Source organism: Homo sapiens, chromosome 3 (assembly GCF_000001405.40).
Source record: "Homo sapiens chromosome 3, GRCh38.p14 Primary Assembly".
Classification (NCBI taxonomy): Eukaryota; Metazoa; Chordata; class Mammalia; order Primates; family Hominidae; genus Homo; species Homo sapiens.
The window spans coordinates 2,121,497-2,143,892 of record NC_000003.12 but is presented as its reverse complement, the minus strand read 5'-3'; the positions used below and the strand labels follow the sequence as shown (position 1 = coordinate 2,143,892).

Sequence of the window (22,396 nt, the reverse complement as noted above, 5' to 3'; positions counted from 1 at the left end):
ACTTGTGTTAGCCATTAAAATTAGTCATGGATACCTTTAATTAGCATCTTACCTTTAATGGCTCATGGCAATGTAGGAACTCAGGCCCTGGAGGACACAGCACAGCAATTTGATTACTGATTCTGCACTTGTAACAACATAATCCTGGGCAATCATTTAACTCTAAACTCAATTTCTTCATCTACAAATCAGAGATAATAATAACTCATATGTTTGTAAATAAAGAACAGGGTGCAATGCCTAGCACACAACATGCATTTAACAAATATTTATCATTGATAAATTAGTAGAATGGTATAATAAGAGGAGCAAGAATTTAGACATTGATGATCTAGGCTCAAAATTACAATCTGCTGGTGATTCTCTGAGCCTAAGATTCTTTATGTCTAAATCGAGAATAGTATCACCTCCTTCTCAGGAGAATAATAATGTGATTAATTATTAATTATCTAAGGAGAATATGAATCTGATAATATTCTTAGTTGTTGTGAAAATTAAACAAGAAAATGAGCATTATTGAACCTAACACAGTTTTGGCACACAGCTTATGTAAAATCAGATTGACAAACTTTGGTTTAACTTCATTAGCCACCAGAATATTTGTGAAGGTAACTGCAAACCAAATGCACAAATAGAATAAGACAACCTGAACTATTTTATTAATTGATCTGGTCATGGTTAATTCTAAGTAACAAAGAAAATGGGAAACGTAAAACAGAAAAAAATCCAGTCTATAAAATGAACATGAACCCCAAATCATGAAATGGTCAGCAAGGCTGCACGGCAGTACAGTGAACCATCCAGAGGCAGTGAACGTGGTGCTCCCAGTGACCTTGAGAAAAATCGCTTACGTAATGAAGGCTCAAAGCATGACATACGTTTGAATCCAGTTAAGAGAGAAATAGAGGTTAAGGCCATAGAGCACTCATTTTGCTCCTTCAGAGGAGAGTAGAAGTAAAGTACACTGTCATTGCCTGGCAATTGCAAAAAATAGAGGCAGCCTATTTACAATCTTTGAAAGTTACGTGGAAATTCACTCCTTAATTCTCTCTCAAGATCTCACATTATATGCCTGAAAGCAGCCGTAGTTTCTATGAAGTCCTTCTCCTTCTCTGCTTCTTTCTTCTCCTCCTCCAGCCCCCTCTCCTCCTAATTTTTGTTCTTCTATCATTTGCAGAGGCAGCTGTAGTAGTTTGTTAACTGGTAATGGAGGGGAAGATTAAAAAGGGAGTGAAAAATGAAAGCATATCAGCCAGGCACAGTGGCTTGCGCCTCTAATCCCAGCAGTTTGGGAGGCCGAGGCGGGCAGATCACTTGCAGTCAGGACGTCGAGACCAGCCCATCTCTACTAAAAATACAAAATTAGCCAGGCATGATGGCGGGCACCTGTAATCCCAGCTATTGGGGAGGCTGAGGCAGGAGAATCTCTTGAACCTGGGAGGTGAGGTTGCAGTGAGCTGAGATCATGCCATTGCACTCCAGCCTGGGCGACAGAATGAGATGCCATCTTTAAAAAAAAAAGAAAGAAAAAAAAAGGAAAGAAAGAATATCAAAAAGTCAGGAGAGCAGACAAAGTCTCTAGCTCTAAAAACAAAACCAGAAAGCTGGTATATTTTGGAGAAATTATGAAATATTTTACAAAAAGATATCATTTGTGCCAGTCATATGTAGAAACAGATGCTTCCACAAATATTGGAAAAAAATATAAGCACCCACACTGTTTACATCCTTTACTTCCTTCTTTGGCTGTATGACCAATCGAAATAGCCCCATGCTAAACCAAAGCAGTGTCCATCACATTTACATGTGGACAGTTAATATGCCTACGACAGAAATCATTAACGTGTCAAAAAATGAATGTGAGATGCATCAGGATGAAGAAATACATAATGATGGTAGTGAGGTCTAATGACCAGCAGCTTTGGATTTATAGAACCACCCTCAGTTTCTGATTAAGCCACTAATTTTTGGTGGTTTAGAGCATTTCAATCTTTATTACTGAAGATGGATTCATAAAATGGATGCAACTGTCAAAAGGTTTAAACATTTTGGAGGCAATCATAAGAACGCCAATTAAAAAGTATTTCATAGTGAGAATTCATCTGCCTGAACACCAGTATGGGGTAATTCTGCTTGTAGTAAACCTGAGAACAGTGAAAGTGTGATTATGTAGTTATCAGTTTGACACTCAGGGAGCTATATGATTTTAGAATATGAGTTAAAGATTAATCTCAAAAGGCTCAGTGAACTTTCTATGGTTTCTTCCACTTTATAGCTGTATTCATTTCCTACTACTGATGTGACAAATTGCCACAAATGTAGTAATTTAAAGCAATATACATTTACTATCTTACAGTTCTGGAAATCAGAAGTCTAAAATGGGTCTCACTGGGCTACAATTAAGACTGGGCAGGGCTTCCTTCCTGTTCCTTTTGGAGGGTCTATCAGAGAGTCTGTTTTCTTGGCTTTTCCAGTTTCTAGGGACTGACCTTGATCCTTGGCTTATGGTCCTCTTTCATCTTCAAAGCCAGCAATCACATAATCACAACTCCTGCCCCTCTCTTTCATTTACAAGTACACTTATAAAATATTAGGTCCACTAGGATAATCCAGAATTTTTTCCTCATTTTAAGATCCTTACCTTCATCATATTGGCAGAGTCCCTTTTGCCATGTGAGGTAGCATATTCAGAGGTTCTAGAGATTAGGACACTGGCATCTTTGGGGCAGGGCCAGCATTCTGCCTATCACAATACCCTGCAATGACAACATTGTAGAAATGCTAAGGTGCTCTTCATTTTGGGAATTGTTTCTCCAGCTCCCCCAGCAACTGATATTCCAGCTGAAGAACAGGAGTAAGTAATATCTCATTTGAAAGTTTCACATAACCTGTAACTTTGAAGACTGTATGCTGAGTGTGGTCAGGCTGGCAGATTATAAAACAGGATCTTTAAAGAAAAGAAGCTGGAACTCTTGACACAATCAAAAGATGTTCCGACACAATGAAACAGTCAACTCATACACATATCAAAGACCTGGACATACAGAAGTAGAGATCACATGAACAAGCAGTTCAGGGAATAAAAGGAAGAATTTTTCTGAGTGCAAAATATAAATTTTGAGGCATACACCAGCTTTGTACCAAAAAAGGAGCCATGCTTTTACATATACCTAGTTCTTAATTGGCCTATGCTATGGTCTGAATGTTTATGTTCCCCCAAAATTCATATCTTGAAATCCTAATACCCAAGGTGATGCTATTAGGAGTTGGGGCTTTGGGGGAGGTAATTAGGACATGAATGGGGTTAGCGCCCTTATAAAAGAGGCTGCAGAGAGCTCTGTTACCTCCTATACCCATGTGAGAACATAGCAAGAAGGCCCATCTATGAACCAGGAAGTGGGCCCTCACCAAAAGTGTCTGAGGTTGCCGTGATCTTGGACTTCCAAGACCCTAGAATTGTAAGAAATAAATTTCTGTTGTTTAGGAGCTACCCAGAAAATGGTAACTTGTTATAGCAGCCTGAATGAACTAAGACAGTCTGATCTGGGCAACAGAGGCACTTATCTTCTGTTAATCATATAAAATGAAAGCTCTGTTTTCTCATCAATCCATAAATAAGGATTTTAAGGGGTACATTATTTCAGGTGGTGTATTAGTCTGTTCTCACACTGCTAATAAAGACATACCTGAGGCTGGGTAATTTATAAAGAAAAAGAGGTTTAATGGACTCTCAGTTCCACATGGCTGGGGAGTCCTCACAAGCATGGTGGAAGGCAAAGGAGAAGCAAAGGCACATCTTACATGGCGGCAGGCAAGAGGGCTTGTGCAGGGGAACTCCTCTTTATAAAGCCATCAGATCCTGTGAGACGCATTTGCTATGACAAGAACGGCACAGTAAAGACCTGTGTCCATGATTCAATCACCTCCCACTGGGTGCCCCCCATGACAGGTGGGAATTATAGGGATTACAATTCAAGATTAAATTTGGGTGGGTACACAGACAAACCGTATCAGGTGGGTTTTGTGGATTGGTAGGAAAAGATGCACACATCTGTGATAGGTTGCTGACTGATTTAGACAACAAAACACATCAGAAGCAGAGTGGCTACACTGAGGAAGAGTGTGCACTGTGCACACTGGCATAGTTTTTCCCAGGCCCTTGGTTCTGGAAACATCCAGCTGGTGTGACACTCCCCAACCAAGCAGTCTTGCAAGAATGCCCTTCAACTCAAGTTGCCATCAGGCTCACATTAGAATTTCAGTGATAATCTATGTCTACCACTCCCAAGCTATGCTCAACTGTCAGGATAGCTCGAGGTAGTTGGCAGTTTCAATATTTGATTGCATTACATTCCTTTTCATTATGTTATATCTTTGCAAAGCTGGGTTCATAGCCATTGCTGTAATAAAATGTGCGTCATGAAAATCAATGTGGATGGGAATCAGGTAGCAGTGTCCAATCTAATTCCAATGTATGTGAAGTCATTCTGTGCCCAACAGGAGGATATATCCCATTAGTAAGCAATAGTGGTTATTTAAGAAAAAAATATTTTATTTCAATTTGTGTGTTTTTTCAAATGATATATATGTTTTTCAAATTACGTTAGTACATAAATTCTTATTCATTTGTTTCAACCTACCTACCTAATGAATAAAACTACTTAATGTTGAGTATTTTCTTTGGCCTAGGGGTATGATGAAAACATTACAAATATACTAAGGGGACTACAAACCAGGATCTACGCTCTGCCATTTAAAGGAATATTTATAAACACTGGCTCTCCTGATTCATTAAGCAAACCCAGTACTCAGAAGGCCACATGCTCCCCCATTTGTTAGAGGAAAAAAGATGCACTACCCAAGTGCCCTGGAAAAAATCTTTTTCCTGCTTTCCTGAAAATCCACTCCCCATAAAACCATACACATACAAACTGTCTTTGCTTTGGCTACTCTATTAGTCAGAGCTCTCCAGAGAAAGAAAACCCATAGGCGATATATCCAGATAACTAGATGGATAGATAGGCAGAGAGAGAGAGAGAGAAGAAAATTTATTACAAAGAATTGGCTCATATGATTATGGAGACTGAGAAGTTCCAAAATCTGCCATCTATAAGCTGGAGATCCAGAGAAGAGCTAATGGTGTAATTCCAGTTCAAGTCTGAAGGCCTGATAACCAGGAAATGGTATAAATACCAGTTCCAGGGCAGGAGAGGACCAATGTCCCAGCTCAACCAGCAGGCAGGAAGAGAAAGGGACAAATTCTTAATTTTTCCCCTTCGGTATTTTTGTTCTATTCATGCCCTCAGTGAATTGGATGATGACCACTCACAATCTGCTTTACTAAGTCCATTTATTCTAGTGGTGATCTCAACCTAACACACCTTCACAGAAACACCCAGAAACAATGTTTTATCCAGGCACCCCATGATACAGTCAAGTTGACCTAAAATTAGCCATGTCAGCTGCCAAGCATCTGAAACTTCTTCCTGTTTTTAGATACCCCCCACTATAAGAAGACATACTGGGGCTGGGCACGGTAGCTCACACCTGTAATCCCGGCACTTTGGGAGGCCAAGGCAGGTGGATCACTTGAGGTCAGGAGTTCAAGACCAGCCTGGCCAACATGGTGAAACCCCGTCCCTAGTAAAAAAACACAAAAATTAGCCAGGCGTGATGGCGGGCGCCTGTAGTCCCAGTAACTAGGGAGCTGAGGCAGGAGAATCACTTGAACCCGGGAAGTGGAGGTTGCAGTGAGCTGAGATCGTGCCACTGCACTTCAGCCTGAGCAACAGAGCGAGACTCCGTCTCGAAAAAAAAAAAAAAAAAGAAGAAGAAGAATATTGGGAGGTGATCACATTCCAGCTAGAAGCTGAAAGAGCCGACTACTTACTTTCCCAGCCTCTTTGCAGCTTGGTTACCAATGGCTGATACATGCTCAGCCAATGAGATGCACTGTCCCCAGGGCTCTGAATTCGGATCCAAGGAAGCAGATATTAAGGAGCAGTGTTTACATAGTGGCAACACAGGCAGTTGCAACACTCAGATGCAGTAGGGGTGGGGTAGGGCGTTCACAACACTACTCCCTTGCCTGCCTGGCCCGCTTTGGCTTTGTCCTTTTCATCTTCCAAGACTGACTGCCCTATCTCCCTTCTGGACTCAAAATCTTTCGAAAAATTCATTTCTTCCTGCTTAAATCATCTGCAGCACTTTTCTGTCACTTGTGAAAAAGCCATGATGTGCATAGCTCCCAAAATGCAATCTTTTTTCTACACAAGGTTCATAAACTTTCCAATGTGATAAAGTTACATACAATAACTCACAAATATAACTTAAGCAAGTGAATCGCCTGCAGGCAATACAATTCATTTTGAATAAAGCATCTTTCTAATCCCCCCACCCCCAAATTATCATTCACAAGGAATGAAAATATAGACAAGACATCCCAACCTGGAATACCTATACTTCCAGAGTTAAGAAACAGAATAAGTGGTTTCTGTCTTCCCTTCACACATTCCCTTTTTCTGCAGTGGCAAGGCAGTGCCCATTGCTGATGTATCTGGTTAGTTCATTTAGAATAAGACCTAAATCACTTGCATTTTATGGGTAAAGCTGACATAACCTTAAGTAGAGCAATATGAAATGTGCCACTATAAGGTATGAAATTGACATTTCATGTCCAATTTAGATACAGCTAGATGACCTCAGTCTAAAGGAGCCATTTTAAATGAGGGCCAGAGTTTTATTTTTTGACAGATGGGTGCCCTGGCTAGAGAATTTATTTAGGTTATATCTGAACTAAAGTGTGATCTACACGATTATTTTGATTCAATGGCTTTAGATACTGGGAAAATATTTTCCTTCTCCTAGATTCTAATTTGTTATGTCACAAATGTCTTATTTAAGAACGGTGGGTTGTTTTCTTCGGGGGGAGGGGTTGTTTGTTTTGCATTTCAGCAATCATATAAAACCGGATGGCATGCAACCAGTTATTCAAACTAATAATCTCTATATTTTCATCTTTACTTATTGCATGTTGTTGGATAAGAACAGACATTATAATTAACGACTTTCCACAGTACACTAATACAAAAGTAAACGGAATCAATTCTTTTGAGTGGTATCTGTAATTACAAATAGCATAAACTGTGTTGTCCCTATTTATACAACTGGAATACCCTTGGATTTCTTTTTTTTTTTTTAAACCAAGGAAGGAAGCAATGTAACCATTTAATTGTCTAAGATGTATACTCTCAAAACCAATTACCACGTCGCTTCTCAAATACAACATCTTTCTGAATATGAAATATGCTTTAAACCAAGCATTACCAGAGATAGCCTATGCATTTTTGTCAAACTCTCCAAAACACAAACAAACAAGAATGGAAGAATATCACCAATATATACACAGAGCCCAAATACTGGAGTATGAAACATTAATTAATTAGTTATTAGTTGGCTATATCACTTACTAATTGGACAGTTTCTCCTAATAATTCAGTGTATCTTTTAGTAATTTGTTCAGTCATTAGTGAAAGAAACAACACAAACTAGTATAACCAAAAAAGAAATTTAATAGTTTACTAACAGAATTCTGGGACAACCTAGCTTCAGGTACAGCTTCATCCAGGAGCACAAATGATATAAGGTCTCTCAACTCTGGTCTTCCTTGAATTAACTACATTTTGAAAAAGTCCCTTTCTATAGTATGACAAGATTATGACCAAGAACGTGGGATTACATCCTTACACCTCCAAATACAAAAGTAAGGAAAGAAAAGAGCCTCAGAATTAACATCAGCAGATCTGACTAGATTGACCTGGGGTCATGAGCCCATACCCAGATAAGACTTATGGCCAAATGCCTCTGAGAGGCTATGCCTATATCACAAACCCAACCCTACAACCAGGATGAACCAAACACCTCTCAGAAAAAAACAGATCAAACATGGGGAAAGCACATCCCCTAGAGAAAATTAGGAAGTATTTACCAGAAGGGTGATGAAAAATGAACTTAGATGGGTCACTGCTATTTAAGAGCACTGGCTTGCCTCTCTAGTCTCTCCAATTCGCTGTAGACCAGGAACCATTTTCCATACTTATGGTAACCCCATTTGTTCTGAACAACAAATCTGCACATAGGTCAGGCAATTAGAGCTACACTTGTGAAGACAATGAGAGAGTGTATTTTACATCATAAGGTTCCCATAGCACCCCTTCATCTGCATTGACCAGCCCCATTTCCACACTTTCCCAAACAAAAAGCTCTGCCCCCACACTTTAGCTCCATTACCAGCCTCGGAAATACAACAAATATGCGCTGATTACTCTCACTGTTTCTCTGATGCTTCTTCCTGGTAAAAACAAGTCTAAAGTTCTGTACTACAAATTTACCATCAAATTCTCTCTGGCTCACATATGCTACCATTGTCTAACATTTCCAATTTTCAAGGCTTAAAAACTACCATTACATCTTACAGAATAGAGATTTACTATCTTAAAGCTGATGTTAAATTGGCCCTACCTTTTTCAGACTTTCAGATAGTACTCGTATTTTACATAACACTGCTAGGAAAAATAACACCTGATGAACATCCCTCTTTTCAAGTACCTGATGTTCATTTTAACCCCATCTCTTCCTGTCTCGAGCTTTTATCCTATGTTCATGCCCTCTCCTCCTCTTTATCTCATCTGGCTTCCTCAAGGTCCACACAGGCCATCTCTAATGCTCTCCTACCTGGCCCTGCCACATCCTTTTCAATGCTGGCCCCTAGAATATTTTTATTTTGAGAATTTCACTGCACTTCACTAGATCAGGGTTTCCCAGCCTTGATACTACTGACATTTTGGGCCTGATAACTCTTTGTTGTAAGGGGCTGTGATGGTCAATTTTATATATCAACTTGACTGGGCCACAGGTTGTGTAGACATTTGGTCAAATGTACTTCTGGGTGTGTCTGTGAGGATATTTTGGATGAGGTTAACATTTGAATCTCCAGACTAAGTAAAGCAGATTGCCCTCCATAATGTGGGAGGTCCTCACCCAATCAATTGGAGATCAAAAGAGGACAAAAAGCTGAGTAAGAGAAAACTCCCACATGACTGCCGCATAAGCTGGGCCATCATATATGTTCTGTTTCTCTGGAGAATTCTGACTAACACAGGGCTCCCCTTGCACTGAGGGTGTTCAGCAGCATCCCTGGCCTCTAATCACTAGATGCCAGCGGCATCCCCTTAGTTATCACAACCAAAAATAGGACCAGCCATTGTCAAATAGCCCCTGGAGACCAAGATGCCCCTAGTTGGGAACCACTGCATTACAGCTTGGCTGGAGACACCATCAAGAAAACTGAGGACATAAAACTTTCTTAGAAACCCGAGAAATTTTTAGCAGTGATTACACCATCATTCACAATACTCATGTCTCCCTAAATGAAGGATTCCTCCATGCTCCCTCCTTGTAGCTTTTCCATGTGTCAGACTGGATCCTATCATCCATCAACCTGTCTGCCTCTCTTTGAAAAGCGGCAGTTTTCAGATGCAGACTGGGGTACGAATTCAAATCACCTAGGAGACTCGTTCAGCACACCAGTGCCCTGGAGATTCTGATTTAATAAACCTCATTGTGGGGACAGAGAATCTTTATTAATAAAAAGTTTCAAGGGTGATTCTGATACATAACCTTAATAGGAGGACAATTTCCTTAAAACTGCAGCAAGCACTGAGAGGCAAATGACACAAACGCTTCTAGACACAAGCAAGTCATTTACCTCTTAATGGAGGTCGGTACATTCCCCAACTCCTGACTCCATAGTCTTTTCCAATAAGTGAAGAAGGATCATGAAATGGGCTGGTTTTTTCAGATTAGGTCAATTTTTTAAAATTTCATCAGTTTTAAAATGATTGCCTTTCATAATAGAGAAATGAAATAAGTCAAACAAGAGAAATATAGCTTTTATAGGAGACATACTCAATTTTCATAGGAAAATCATAAGAAAACAATAGAGCTTTAAATCTAATTCTGGAAAATGACTCTTAATAAATCAAAAGATTGTTAAAGGACCTAGCCAGTGATAAATTAGAAAAAGGAAAATAATCTTAAATTAAATAATTCATGAACTCAGGCATACAAGTAATTTCCTAACAACAATTCAAGTTGCAAGACATATATTTATTTCGCTATGTTAGAATATAAATTTCTCTTCCTCAAGGGCTTTCATTTGTCCAGTTTAAAATTCTACAGCAAATCAGTAAATATTAAGGATAATGTTACTACCTAAAATTTTCCCCAAAATAAAATCTATGTATAGCTAGGAAAAACAGAAATCAGAGACTCATTTCAAAAAAGAAAAGCTTTCAAAAAGCTTTGTAGAAACTTTGAACTATACTCTTTTGAGAACAGATTGACATTGGAATGTGCAATTTGCTCCTTATCACTATTTGCAAAATACCATCATTATCTTATTCTAGTCCTCTGCTAGCAACAGCCATAAAAGGCACCTCCATGCATTTTATTGCCCCTCATAGAGATGCATTTTATGACTCCACCTGAAGAGACAATGACACTTAAGAAATCTTAAGAATTACTTGGGAAAAGAGACTTTAAGAAAATGCCCTTTGATTCTAAACAACTATAACATAAAGAAGATAGTCCAGGTCACTTTATCTTCCTCTAAGGAGAAAATGAAGTAACTAAAGCTAGAATTAATTACAGACAGGAGGGAGTGAACCCATTAAGTGTTGAAGTTCCAACCAACCCTTAGTTGCTTCCTCCTCCCTCTTCTCAACTCCTCCTATCCAACCTACTACTGATTGCTCTGGTGTCCTAATATCAAGTCCTTCATTTTTGTCCCTCTGCATGCCTCCTACTTATTTCTTATTTCTTTGTTTCATTGTCTTGTTTTTCTGTAAAACCATCCAAGAACCAACTTCTCTTTGACATTCACTCTGGCAGCCTGTCCCAACTGCTGGGAAGCTGTTTGACCAACTGTTCTTTGACTCGCTGTCACTTTTTCAAAATCTACATCTTATTTCCCCTGTAGTTTCTGGACAGAGGGACAGTCTACAAAAACAGAGAAATGGGCCCTGTCATCCACAATGAGGATCCATCAGAAGTTTTAAATAAGAGACTTTATGACAGTAATCTTATTAGAGAAAACCCCATTCATTGTGAAAATATAAATACGAGTGAGAAAATGGCAGAATGTTTTAAACTCCTGCACTAAGGAAAAATGATGACAATCTTGGATGCTGGCCAATCACTAACACTCTCCATCCCTGTCCAGAGAGTACAGCATGATCACTATCCTCATCACAATGGCAAATTGTAATGAAACCTCTGAGGATATTAGAAAGACCTTGCTTTCTGGATTGTCAAAGCAATTATAATAAAACAGCTGCTCACCTTCATTTGAGGAATATAACACATTATCTCTCTTCTTCACAGCAAACCTGTTTCTGGATATCTGCTATTGGATAACAAACTACGGGGAAACCTAGTGACTTATTACCGTGGATTATTGCCCCTCGTGTTTCTGTGAGTGGTCTGGGCTCAGCTGGGCAGTTGTCCCTTGGTATCGTTCATGCCATTTCAGTCAGATGGCACTTTAGACTGAAATGAACTAATGGTTCGGTTGGGTGGGGATGTCCAAGGTAATTTACATGTCTGGCACACTAGCTGGGAGAGCTAGAATAGCAGCTGGCTGGCCAGGAATTGATCTTTCTCCACGTGGTTAGCTTGGACTTCCTCACAGCATAATGATCAGACTTCTTACATGGCAGTAGCTTCCCCTAGAGTGAAGATGCCAAGAAAATAAGGTGGACACTGCAAGGCTCCTTATGACTTGGCCACAGAAGTTATGCAGGATCTCCCCTACTGCATCTGCTGGTTATACAAGAACAACACAGAATCAGCATGAGAAATATGAACACATAGGGTATGAACTTCCAGAAGCTCTTTGGGCTATCTTAGCTAACACAATGCCCACTAGGTAAATTGGGAGATGTACTGTTGCTCTCAGATTACAAATAAGAAAAAAGCTCACTGATTCTAGATCTGAGATCCAAGACCTAGAAAGTGTCTGAACTGCCACAGGAATCTGAGTATTCAAGATGATAAGTTAACTGTTTTGCTGGTATCAAGCAGGTGGTAAACTTAAAATGGATTATACTTAAAAAACTAACTGGGGTTTTCATCCAAATGTTAGTTTCATCTGCAATTAATTAATCATCCATACAGTGGACATTTTACATGAGTGTGCTGTCTCACGTGAATCACATCTTTTGCTGACAGCAATCAATTTTCCTTTAGGAACACTGCTCCATCATGCTGGATTTGTGACACCCCACTTTACCCTAGCTAACAGCAACACAAGCTCAAGTATTCTCTCTCATCTGAATCTTACTGCTACTAGAAGTATATTTATTCTAATGGAAATGGCCAAGAAAGACTATCAAAGAAGTGTTGCTACTGAGACTCATTCTTTCCCCCAATTATCCCCTGGGCCTGATACTCCATCACCTGATACCCTTCGTATTAATTCCCTTTATGTTGATGTAAGACTGAGTCTATGGGCTGCAAATCAGAGACACTGAATACGAGGAGGATAACTAGTTATTGTGCACACCAGATTTGGTGTCTAATTCGACTTAGTTGAGATGTAACTCTACCACTTTCTTACTAGGTGTATGTATCCTTAGGCAAGTTTCTTAACTTCTCTGAAACTCTTCCTCATCTGTAAAACAAAATTAATACTATCACCTTCTTCAAAGAGTTGCAAAGATTAAATGAGATAATACAAGTAAAGTACCATGTCTGGCTTGGAATAAACACAATACATGTCAGCTATTATATTTAATATTACAGGTCCATAATCCCTTATCTGCAGTTCCAATATGCAAAACGCTCTGGAAAACCAAACACACTGTCAGCCCAACCTGACCTCAGCTGAAAAAGATGCTCTTTATGATCTTTATCCCATTCAAGCACTAAGAAATGTCAACATGCTTGGCCATTGCCCAAGATTCTATTGGAATGTCACATAGCACACAGCACTAGTAGCATACTACCGTTCTAAAATCTAAAATTCTAAACTACTTTTGACCCCAAGGGCTTCAGATAAGAGACTATAGATATGTAAGTTACTATTATTCAAAAAACCTGTTTATTCAAAACATAGACACCACACAGTTCTCTCTAGGGATCCCACAAAACTTGGGACTATGTATTAAAACACAGAAATTACACTAGAGCCAGTTTCAATAACTAATAAACATTTTATACTGAACTAATACTGCTTATATAGGCAAATTGTGCCAAAGGAACAAATTTACATAAAACTTGATAAGCTGCAAATATCCTACTTCTAGTTAAGGCATGTAATTAGAACTGCATCTTCTGGCTTTTTAATTTAGAGGGTGTTTAAGAATTCTATTTTATTACCTGAATTAAATACCATTGGTTTTATACTTGTAGGTTTCTCACAGGTTTGCTGTTCACTCATATTGTATCCTCTTACTCATAGTGAATCAGATAAAACAAAGGTTGATATTAGAATCCCATCTTGGGACTGCTGCTCCTGCTTATAGTGTCAGTTCTGGCCCTCAATGGTTCAGAGCTCCAGAAAAGCAGACTAAACTACTGTGGCATCTTTCTTTAGGGTTAAATTTTAACTTCAGAAGAAAAATCCTGAGACTCCCTTTTTAAAATAAACAAGAAAAGTTGAGGACAAAAGTGTGCAAACCCCCATACAATAAAAATAAGAATTATAATTCAAATGAGAATAACATATGGACAAAGCCACATTACTTATGATAATGAAGAAAGTTATGATGTGCTCTATCACTTTACCACTAGTTATTTACATCTTTTAAAATAATTTCTTAAGATGTATTCCAGTTCACAGTAGAAATAGTTTTGGGTGCAAGCAACTGATAATATGTAAAATTTACTTACAATGCCAGTTTTGAAAACCTTCATTTAAGGAAACATGTCTATCTGCCACAAATGCAATATTCATTAACAAAGCCACCAATATAAGTGTGTTTGAAAGGATCTATCTGTTAATATAACCATTTATATATATACTATGTATTTTTATGTACAATCTGGTTAAGTAGGTAGGTAAATGAAGGAAACTGAGTTACAGGAAAGCCAGAAAGGTTGTTCAAGGTCATGAAGTTAACTGCCAAGCAGAAGATGCAAAAAAAAATTGTTAGAAACAATCTAACTTTAATAACAGGGTGAAGAGCTTCTCTCCAAAGTCTCCAGCATATTTTTGGTTTTCATGAATTTTTCAGAGAGCATCTGTTTTTAAGTAAGTAGAAACATACTCAGGGAAAATAAGGCCTGTTAGAAGAAGTTCAAGTCAAAGTCTATAAACATGCCCTCTTTGCATGTATGCTAAAGGAAATTTAATACCATCAACACTTGATTATTTCCTAGAGTGAGAGAATCCAAAATAGCATATCGAAAACAACTTTCTTATCTATCCCTGCACCATGCAAAACTACTGGTTCTCACAAGTCCACTACGGAAGCCAACAGTTATTTTGTTTCTCATTACAAATAGCTGCACCCAATGCCCATGGGAAGTCTCTGCACATGATGTGCGCTTTTTTTTTTTTTTTTTTTTGCAGGTTTGGACAAGCATTTGCAATGTTCTATGGGATCTTAATAGTATCACAAGAAGGCTTTCCTAGTATCAAAAAATAATAACAAATGAAAAATGTTAAAGCTCAGGAAATGTTAGCTTCATAAAGTTGGTGAAATTTTGTTTTATTTTCTTTTCCTAAATAGTTGATTTGGCCTTTAACGTGTTAATATATTATGAAAGAAAAAATGAAGCATTTCCCAAATATTTTACCATAGAAAATGTTAGTCTGTAGTTCCTCCATGTTCCATGAAGTATATTTTGGATAATTATTCTCTAAGATACATCTAATATTACAGACACATCTTAATCCATAGATCTAAGAGTCCTGTAAAACCAAAATCTAGCTCCTTTGTTAAAGTTTCCATTGATAGGACACTCACTATACGTTGAGGAAACACATTTATTGATGAATCATTTCATTCAGTTGGCTCTTTATGGTTTTCTTTAATATGTCTTACATCTCACCCCTGTGCAAATGCAAAGCAGATCTAAGTCATCTTTCGCTTGAAATTGTTTCATGTAAATGAAGACACCTATTACATCCCCTTGCACTGAATTTACACCACCATAAGCTAAACATCCTAAGTTCTTCTTGAGACATGTTATGGGATACCATCATCATCCAAACTGACTTCCTCATGATACCAGCTTGTTTGACAAAATCTGTCTTAGTGTCGATCACAGTCTTCAGATTGTGATCACCTCTCAGTGCAGGATTAAAATTGACCAGGTTTCCCCTGGATCCAAGCCCTGCCTCTGACATTGACTACCTTTAAGACCTTGACAAGTTACTTACCTTTCTAAGCCTCACCCTATTCATCAGTAAAACAGTAATGATAATTCTTGCTATGGTGAGGTTTCTGTAAATGTTAAATTTAAAATATTGAATCTACTGCATAATAAGTATTCAATAAATATTAGCTAGTATCACTGTGTCCATTCTGGAAATATGTGTTTTCTTTTGGCCAGTTTAAAAAAGTAGAATTCACCAAATGCTCACCAGTGACTGATTGGCTCAGGGTTGCAATCAGCAGGTAAATGTAACAATGAGAAAAGAAACTGGCAGACGGTTAAAAATAAGCCACAAATTATCTGCAAGCAGATAAAGCCCTGACTGTATAATCATTACCAACCAGGCTCTATCTTTTCTTCCCATGTAGTAACATGTCACTTTCTTTAAAAGTTTCAGAGAAACACTCTCTGCAAAAGCCTGCAGTTTGAAACATAAATTAGGGTGTGGAAATAAACATCTTTTAACAACACAAAATTCATATTTTCCTCGCTCTGCTTGAAAGAGTGGCATTCAGAGGAAGAACAAAATTCAGTAACAAGTTATCTTCTACTCTTGGTTTGATGCCACTCAGCTTTGAGCTTGCTTTTGACTACACCAGTGGAGCTTGCAATCTTTTAATTTGGTGCATGACTTAAAGGTTCCCTGTAGCACCTTTTAAACACTGGCAGATTTCTACAACAATGATGAATGTGGCTCCATTTAGTTCAAACCTTTAGCATCTCATAGGTGCAAGAATTCTTGGTACTGAGCAGCTAAATTGAAATTGGCATATATTTCCAATATGGAATCTGATCCTTCTGTAATGGGTGGGGTTGTGGGGCATTCTTGGCAGGAGTGTAAAAAGTGAAGATACTCAAATTATCTCTCCTGTAATTTTTTTTATATTTTAGAAATATTCTTGATTTTTTTTAAAACAATCAAAAAAGTAATAGAGAAAAGAGACTAGTTTCAATCACGGTCTTGTTCTAAAAGGATTGTGGCACATCACACAAGTTCAATGAGCCTGAATTTTCCATTATATCAGGAGCATGTTATTCCATCCTCCCTCCCTCCACTTAATTTGATCAAATATTGAGTTTATTAAAAAATTGAATAAAAGGGAGGAGCGGCACCCACTAGGCTGTGAAGGATGATTCACAGCAAGGTACTTCTGAAAGTTCTCTGATGGACTTGGCTCTCTCTCAACACCCTGGCCACCCCTTCACCCACAGCACATTGGGGCTGTGATGGGAACCCGACAAAGGGCAGCTGATCCACAGGGTATCAGGTGGACTCCAGCAAGGGCACTGCCCACAAAGGTGGGAAGATGGTAACTTAAGCAATCCAGGCTTCTCTTGAGAAGAGAGCTAGCAATTCATTGAGAAAGGAGAAAAACGCAAACCACAAAGATGAAAAAGACAGAATAAGTCATTAAACTAAATTAACTATGTAACTATGAAAACTGGATCCTCAAACTGCTAGGACTCCTCATCAGACAAAAGTCACAAAGGACCTTCTAGTTTCGAACCACCCTCCATCTAGGTGAGGTCCAGGTGTGCCACACTTGTGCAGCTTTCCCAGAATTCACATCAGAATCTCCCATGTGGACAGTATTTCTCGTCTCTTTATTTCTATATTTCACCTTTTGATAAACCCCCAGTAGTTAAAGGAGCCTAAATAGGTCTCTATTGCTTGCACACAAAGGAGGCCAAAGCACATTTAAAGTAAGAAAAATATTACTTGATGAGTTTTCAAACAGGTTTGAAGTTATATTCTCCTCACCCCCTCTCAACTTTGCCATACATAGCACTCCATTTTGTATATCAAATTACCTTAAATTACCATTCTAGTCAAAACAATTACGTGCTAAGGAGCTAACACCATCAAGCACAGGGCTACAGAACTGCAAGATGCTCAATAAATCTTATTAGCTAATGATTAAATAAAGTTCACAGGACACAAAAATTATTAAATCAATATTTCTTAATTATATGGCATAAATCTACTAGAAACCCAGATACCTACTTCTTATTGCTCAGAAAGTACAAGAAAAGGTGCCAGATAAAGAAACTAAAATTAGAATTCATTCATATATTTACTAAGCATTTTAATCCTAGGAAATCTGTGACACCCTGAAATGTGCCATGTACTGGGCGCAGAGACAAGATAGAATCATAGTCCATTATCTTAAGGAGCTATATGCAGTATGGACATCCTAACATATAGTAGAGATTTATTTTTTAATTTCCCATCCTATCACATAAGAGCTTCTAGATTTTAAGCGGTTAGAGATCCCAAGGGTCCCTAAGGAAAAACTATGTTCCCCGGAGGACATTCTGTAAAGACAGTTAATTGTTTAATACTCAGACATTCAAATAACTGTATTCAGGATTCCATACACAATGGATGCTTGCAATGAAGACACACTACGGAAAGAGCTTTTAGTATAACAGAGTGACAATTAGTGCTGATCACACTCATCACGAGGTATATCCTAAATATGACAGGGTTTTTAAAATTAAAACACACACACATACACACATACACACACACACACACACACACACACACACACACCAGAAATAAAAACTGAGCAACTTATAAATCTTCATAGAAGGCCTGGTGCTGTGGCTCACGCCTGTAATCCCAGCACTTTGGGAGGCTGAGGCGGGCGGATCACGAGGTCAGGAGATCGAGACCATCCTGCTTAACACGGTAAAACCCGTCTCTACTAAAAATACAGAAAATTTGCCGGGCATGGTGGCAGGCGCCTGTAGTCCCAGCTACTCAGGAGGCTGAGGCAGTAGAAAGGGTGAACCCAGGAGGCAGAGCTTGCAGTGATCCAAGATGGTGCCACTGAACTCCAGCCTGGGTGCCAGTGTGAGACTCGTCTCAAAAAAAAAAAAAAAGAAAAAGAAAAAGAAAAAAGAAATCTTCATAGAAATCTGTGCCCAAAGGAATTGAAGTCAAGATGTCAAAGATTTAGATCTAGAAGTGATATCTGCACTCCCATGATCATTGGAGTTTACTTAATTCACGGTAGTCAAGATATGGAAACAACCTAAATATCTATCAATAAATGAATAAAGAAAACGTGGCATGTTATACACACACACACACACACACACACACACACACACAGAGAATAGAATGTTACTCAGCCTTGAAAAAGAAGGAAATCCTGCCATATGTGACAACATACATGTACCTGGAAGACAGTATGCTAAGTGAAATAAGGCAGTTACAGAAGGTTAAATACTGGGTGATTCTACTTATATAAGGTATCTAAAATAGTCAAACTCATAGAAACAAAGAGTAGAATGGTGGCTTCCAGAGCCTGTAGAGGAAGGAAAAATGGAGAGTTATTGTTCAAGGGTACAAAGGGTATAAAATTTCAATTCTGCAAGATGAATAAGTGCTAGAGATCTGCTACACGACATAGTGCCTATAGTTAACAACACTGTTTTATGCACTTAAAAATCTGTCAAGCAAGTAGATGTCAAGTGATCTTACCAGTAAAAACATGGAGCGGGGGCAGGAAGAAACTTCTGGAGATAATAGATATATTTATTACCTTAATTGTACTGATTGTCTCATGCATCTTTGCATATATTAAAATCCGCAAATTGTATACATTAAATCTGTGTAGATTTTTGTACATCAACTACACTTCAATCAAGCTGCTTTTTTGTTGGTTGGTTGGTTGTTTTTCACTCTCTCTTCCAGGCTGGAGTAGAGTAGCATGAACATAGCTTACTGCAGCCTCAACCTCCTGGCACAAGGGAACCTCCTGCCTCAGCCTCCCATGTAGCTGGGATCACAGTCATGCACCACCATGCCCAGATGTTGTTGTTGTTGTTGTCATTGTTGTTGTTGAGACAAGGAGCTCACTTTGTTGCTCCAGCTGGTCTTGAACTCCTGGGCTCAAGTGGTCCTCCCGCCTCAGCCTCCCAAAGTGTGGGATTATAGGTGTGAGCCAGCATACCTTGCTTAAGGGGGTGTGTGTGTGTGTGTGTGTGTGTGTGTGTGTGTGTGTGTTTTAAATAAATCTATGCAGACAAAGGCTTTTAAAAATGCATGACCCCAAAGATAAAAGAATCCTCTATCTGCCAAGAAAGTAATCATTACCTAAAACCGCCCATTTTAATAACATACTGAGTTGACCTTAGTGGCATGGCTAACCGTTGAGAAAACAAGTGACAGCGGAAGTTGATGCTGGCATCTTATTCCTCACTACTGCCTTGTTCATATTTTTCAGATAATCCCTTCCCCTCACTCTCATCACCTCTCCAAAATCTCTGTCAGTGGGTTGGGAATTTTACGTGACTTCTGGCACACTCTTTGACAGGGTATACTGTTAATCTATTGTAAGTGATTTTTTTCCCCTTATTTTCATTCCACAAGCAAGCCTGGCCACAGTCTTCTGGCATCTTTGCTTTTTGTCTTTGTGGAATTGCTAGAAGTCTTCCTGGATTCTTGGCTTTGACTATCCCACATCTTAAATTCTCACATCTGATTATATATTTAAAAATTCACCAGGGCCTAATCAAGATGAATTAATTTAGCCATGCACCATCTTCACTGCTTTTAATTTGCCACACATTTCAGTTTTACTTAGAGAGTCAGGATGACCAGTGCTATGATGTCAAGCTGCCTGGTCATCCCAAACATAGTTTTGATCAGTTAAGTGGTGCAGGACAAGAGCTGTAAGTCTGAAACTCTAACGATCATTTCTTAGTCCCAAAACACAAAGTAAATTTCTAAAGGAATCCCCTATAATAAATCATCATATGTCAGCGACTAATTACAGCCAGTGTAGCGCTAGAAAACTACAGCATCTCAATTAATCTTGCGAGATGTCAGTTCAGAAACATGAGAGTAGGGTCAGCATGGGAAGATACACCACAGCTGGACACAGCAGTAGCAAAGACATCTGAGCATCTGAGCATCCCTCTAAGTACAGGGGTGCAAAAGCTGGACCAACCAAAGGAAAGGACCCTTCCAAACAAGAACTGCCTAAATTTGCCTGGATACTGACCAGAAAAACCTGTTTAATGCATAAAAAATTAGTAAAGCCAAGTGATTCTGATGGTCAATTGCAATGATGCAATAAAAGGAAAAACTCCTCTGGAAGCAGGCAGAGGGAGATAGCTCTGCCAATTATTAGTTATGTGACCTTGACCTTGAGAAATGCACTCAGCCGTTTTGAACTTAAATTTCCAAAATTGTAAAGTGAGGATAGTTATTCCCATTTTGGAGGGTTGTTGTAAAGATTAGAAATCATATGCAAGGGTGCTAGGCATATAGTCAATGCTCAACAAGAGCTATAATTTACCATAAACTCCACTGTGTCTGGCTGAGGGTTCTCAGAAGATCAGCTAGGTTATCACTTTGCTGAGGATGCCTTAAGTCAAGAACATACTGTCCTGGCTTCTACTTGCTGTGTAATTCAAAGATCAGAATGGCTCGTCCAGTCATGCCAAGTCTCACCGACAGTACCCAATGTCTCATAATATAACATGGCAACCTTGAACTGAGACATTCAATGAGCTCTTATAACTGGAAAGGATTAAGAACAACAGCCAACCATAAACCTTGCACAAGAATGTCTAACATAAGCTGTTTTACCTGGGTACACGATCACTTGTGAGGCTTCGTGAAAGTTGCAAATGTTGACAGATTGTAAAATGAACGTCTATTAATTGCTAAGGAGCTACTGCATCAACTCAAACATTATGACAACCTTGTTTTGAGAATGTAAATTATGATAATTTCTTTGCAGGGCAATCTGGAAATAATTATAAAAGTTTTTAAATGTACAATACAGTATTTTTGACCAAAAAAATTCCAATTCTTCTTTCAGGAATTTATCCTACAGATATAATCACACATGTTTACAAAGATATTGTTTATCATAGCAAGAGTCTGTAAAGAACATAAATTCTTATGAGCAAGTTCTAGTATTATGGCCTTTGTACAAAGGAATAAATACTCTTCGCAGGGAAGAGTTAGCTACATATAGATTAATGTAGACTGACATCTAAGATTCATCTTTAAGTGAAGAAAAATATTCCATGCCATCATTTTTTATAGTAAGCATTCAGATTTTTTTAACTGACAAAATCAGTTATATGTGCCCATATAACAATAAAGATCTCTGAAATGATAAACAAATAATAGTAACATTGTCTCTAGGGAAAAGAGTTAGCAGAAAGTGACAAAAGGCAAACAGTTTTGACCAGGTACCCTTTCATACTATTAAAATGCACAATCATAGACAAATAACCTTTAAAGAAAAATAATTTTTTTTTTTTTTTGAGATGGAGTGTCGCTCTGTCGCCCAGGCTGGAGTGCAGTGGCGCAATCTCAGCTCACTGCAAGCTCCGCCTCCCGGGTTCCCGCCATTCTCCTGCCTCAGCCTCCCGAGTAGCTGGGACTACAGGCGCCGCCACCACGCCCGGCTAATTTTTTTGTATTTTTTTAGTAGAGACGGGGTTTCACCGTGGTCTCGATCTCCTGACCTCGTGATCCGCCCACCTCGGCCTCCCAAAGTGCTGGGATTACAGGTGTGATAAAGAAAAATAATTTTAAAATACAAAGGGGGTACAATGGCAAACTGAAATGGAAAGTTCAGACACTATCCAGGGAAATTAAATATTAGTAACCAGTACAAATTAATCAAGGTATCAGACCCTACTTCTTGAGCAGAAGGAGACATTTTTTCTTTCAAATTATATGGATAATTACCTTTAACTCTTTCTCTTCATTTCAACAATGCAGAGTGAAGGTTGTACACTTCAGTTCTTCAGATTGTGAAATGGAAACTCTGACAAATTACAGGTTTGACATTTGCTTATATTCTTCAGTGAAAGGTTCCAAATACAGCACAAGTTCTATAGTAACCAACTTACAATTCTATAGGACTGGAGGATATGGGTCCCCGTGCACACAACTTCATTTTTTTTTTTTTTTTTT

General features: G+C 38.6%; 1 protein-coding gene and 1 long non-coding RNA gene across 29 annotated transcripts in view; one reads left to right on the top strand and one right to left on the bottom strand.

Moving 5' to 3' along the window:
* CNTN4 (contactin 4) overlaps window positions 1-22,396 on the bottom strand; it is a 959,094-nt gene that overhangs the window by 914,067 nt on the left and 22,631 nt on the right. For 12 of the 28 annotated variants that reach the window (XM_047447535.1, XM_047447518.1, XM_047447523.1 and 9 more), the window contains exons 1-2: window positions 2,642-22,396; window positions 53-181 (exon numbers count right to left, since the gene is read on the bottom strand). The exon at window positions 2,642-22,396 is cut by the window's right edge and continues 21,181 nt beyond it. The exons of 9 other annotated variants lie outside the window; for them this stretch is intronic. The gene's annotated coding sequence lies outside the window, so the exon portion shown is untranslated. The remainder of the gene's footprint in view (window positions 1-52; window positions 182-2,641) is intronic. 7 more of the 28 variants (XM_047447517.1, XM_047447524.1, XM_047447531.1 and 4 more) reach the window with 5 other exon arrangements.
* The window catches only part of CNTN4-AS2 (CNTN4 antisense RNA 2), a 33,833-nt gene that overhangs the window by 349 nt on the left and 11,088 nt on the right, over window positions 1-22,396 (top strand). The window contains exon 2 of the long non-coding RNA NR_046555.1: window positions 11,443-11,532. This is a non-coding gene — a long non-coding RNA (CNTN4 antisense RNA 2). The remainder of the gene's footprint in view (window positions 1-11,442; window positions 11,533-22,396) is intronic.